This window comes from Homo sapiens, chromosome 21 (assembly GCF_000001405.40).
Source record: "Homo sapiens chromosome 21, GRCh38.p14 Primary Assembly".
In the NCBI taxonomy this organism is placed as follows: Eukaryota; Metazoa; Chordata; class Mammalia; order Primates; family Hominidae; genus Homo; species Homo sapiens.
The window spans coordinates 13,775,824-13,778,812 of NC_000021.9; the positions used below are offsets into that span (position 1 = coordinate 13,775,824).

Consider the following 2,989-nt stretch of genomic DNA (forward strand, 5'->3'; position numbering starts at 1 on the left):
ATCCACAGAACAGTAAATATAACTTGATAATCACCCCCAACATTTCTTGCATTGGAAAATTGAATTGGCAGGTTTGCATAATAAAGGGCTAAAATTATGAACCACACAAGATTTGCCTGAAACTTGATTGTTCAGGCTCAAAATTCTCTACTGAATACTCTTGTGCTTGCTTTTGTATTTATCCATTTTCATGAAACTGCTTAGGGCAGACATTTCTTTTTTAAATCTTTTTTCATAAAAATAAATTGTAATAAATATGCCGGCGGATGGTAGAGATGCCGACCCTACCGAGGAGCAGATGGCAGAAACAGAGAGAAACGACGAGGAGCAGTTCGAATGCCAGGAACGGCTCAAGTGCCAGGTGCAGGTGGGGGCCCCCGAGGAGGAGGAGGAGGACGCGGGCCTGGTGGCCAAGGCCGAGGCCGTGGCTGCAGGCTGGATGCTCGATTTCCTCCGCTTCTCTCTTTGCCGAGCTTTCCGCGACGGCCGCTCGGAGGACTTCTGCAGGATCCGCAACAGGGCAGAGGCTATTATTCATGGACTATCCAGTCTAACAGCTTACCAGTTGAGAACGATATACATATGTCAGTTTTTGACAAGAATTGCAGCAGGAAAAACCCTTGATGCACAGTTTGAAAATGATGAATGAATTACACCCTTGGAATCAGCCCTGATGATTTGGGGTTCAACTGAAAAGGAACATGACAAACTTCAAGAAGAAATACAGAATTTAATTAAAATTCAGGCTATAGCTGTTTGTATGGAAAATGGCAACTTTAAAGAAGCAGAAGTCTTTGAAAGAATATTTGGTGATCCAAATTCTTATATGCCTCTCAAAAGCAAATTGCTTATGATAATCTCTCAGAAAGATACATTTCATTCCTTTTTTCAACACTTCAGCTACAATCACATGATGGAGAAAATTAAGAGTTATGTGAATTATGTGCTAAGTGAAAAATCATCAACCTTTCTAATGAAGGCAGCAGCAAAAGTAGTAGAAAGTAAAAGAACAAGAACAATAACTTCTCAAGATAAAGCTAATGAAAATTATGTTGAAACGGAAACTGAAGCTAATTTGGATACAAGAAAAAGGTCTCACAAGAATCTTTTCTTATCTAAGTTACAACATGGGACCCAGCAACAAGACCTTAATAAGAAAGAAAGAAGAGTAGGAACTCTTCAAAGTACAAAAAAGAAAAAAGAAAGCAGAAGAGCCACTGAAAGCTGAATACCTGTTTCAAAGAGTCAACCGGTAACTCCTGAAAAACATCGAGCTAGAAAAAGACAGGCATGGCTTCAGGAAGAAGACAAGAATTTGAGATCTGGCATGAGGAAATATGGAGAGGGAATTATAAATTCAACAACCGGACAAGTGTCATGTTAAAAGACAGATGGAGGACCATGAAGAAACTAAAACTGATTTGCTCAGACAGCGAAGACTGATTGTGTTTGTAAAAGCTTGATGAAAGGACAGTTAAGTATTTTGATCACTGCATTTTGTTTGAAACTTGTGTCATTGATGTATTTTAAAACTTTTGTTTAAGCATTACAGTATTTTTCTGTGACCATCAATTAATATGAGGGTTTGTGCTATAAGAGTTAGAGCATATGCTATCATTGTATTCTTTAAGAACTTTATTTTGATAAAATGTAAATTTGTTGAACCCTGCCACATTTAGTATCCCCACCCCCAAAACCTGTTCCAATGAAAAAATTAAAACCTGTTACGAAAAAAAAATTCAGTTAACCTATTTTGTGTCTGTAGGCTGACCTCAACACTGTAACATAACCCATTAAAATGAATTTTTTTTTTAAGACAGAGTTTCTCTCTGTCACCCAAGCTGGAATGCAATGGCACAATTTCAGCTCACTGCAACCTCTGCCTCCCGGGTTCAAGCAATTCTCCTGCCTCAGCCTCCTGAGTAGCTGGGATTATAGGCACACACCACCATGTCCAGCTAATTTTTGTATTTTTAGTAGAGGCGGGGTTTCACCATGCTGGTCAGGATGGTCTCGAACTCCTGACTTCATGATCCACCCACCTCGGCCTCCCAAAGTGCTGAGATTACAGAAGTGAGCCACTGTGTCCTGCCTAAAATGAATTTTCTAGACGACTGAATAACAGTAGTCCTTTGATAGGAGATAATGACTTGGTTTATGGCCTTAATACACTACTTAATTACTTAAGATGTTTATTAATAGAATGATAAATGTACAGAGTAACCTACAAGCATGACATACTTTTGCTTTCAGTAGTTTCATGTAAAGAAAAAAACTTGAAAATAGTAATACCTGAGGACCCATGGGAATAACAGACACTGGGGAGGTAGGGTGGGGAGCGGGAACAAGAGCTGAAAAACTACCTACTGGGGACTCTTCTCACTACCTGGGTGACAGGATCATCCATACCCTAAACCTCAACATCACACAGTACACCCAGCTAACAAACCTGCCCATGTGTTCCCTGAATCTAAAAAAAAATTGAAATAATTGTTTTAAAAAAGAAAAAGACAATAGTATTACCCATGGGACAAAATTTGTACTATTAGCAAGAATCATTTGTGTCTCATTTAGAAACAATTTGACTTTTGTTCCAGTGTTTAAACTTTGACAAAAATGGTTTTGAATAGATCTTTATAACCTGATGCCATAAATACAAGATTCTCTGATACCTTCATTTAATATATCAATATTGGGCCTAAAAGAGTATTCTATAAAGCTTAAATTGGTATTAACTATGATCATCTTGATGTCTATGATAGATAATAAACAAGGTCATACATACCTTACTAAATAATTTTGGTTTTTCACCAACATTTTATCTAAAAGATTTAGACTAACAGAATTATTTAGCATTTCGAGTCATGTGCTTTATTTAGCAAGTGAGTAAAAATATTGGAATATTGAAGTATTTGCATAAAAAATCAAATGGCAGTGTTTTGTGATCTCTATTGTATTTTCTATTAAGGTTTCATATATTACTTTCCCA

At 37.3% G+C, this 2,989-nt stretch overlaps 1 pseudogene; it reads left to right on the forward strand.

Moving 5' to 3' along the window:
• Positions 263–2,989, forward strand: TERF1P1 (TERF1 pseudogene 1; annotated as a pseudogene).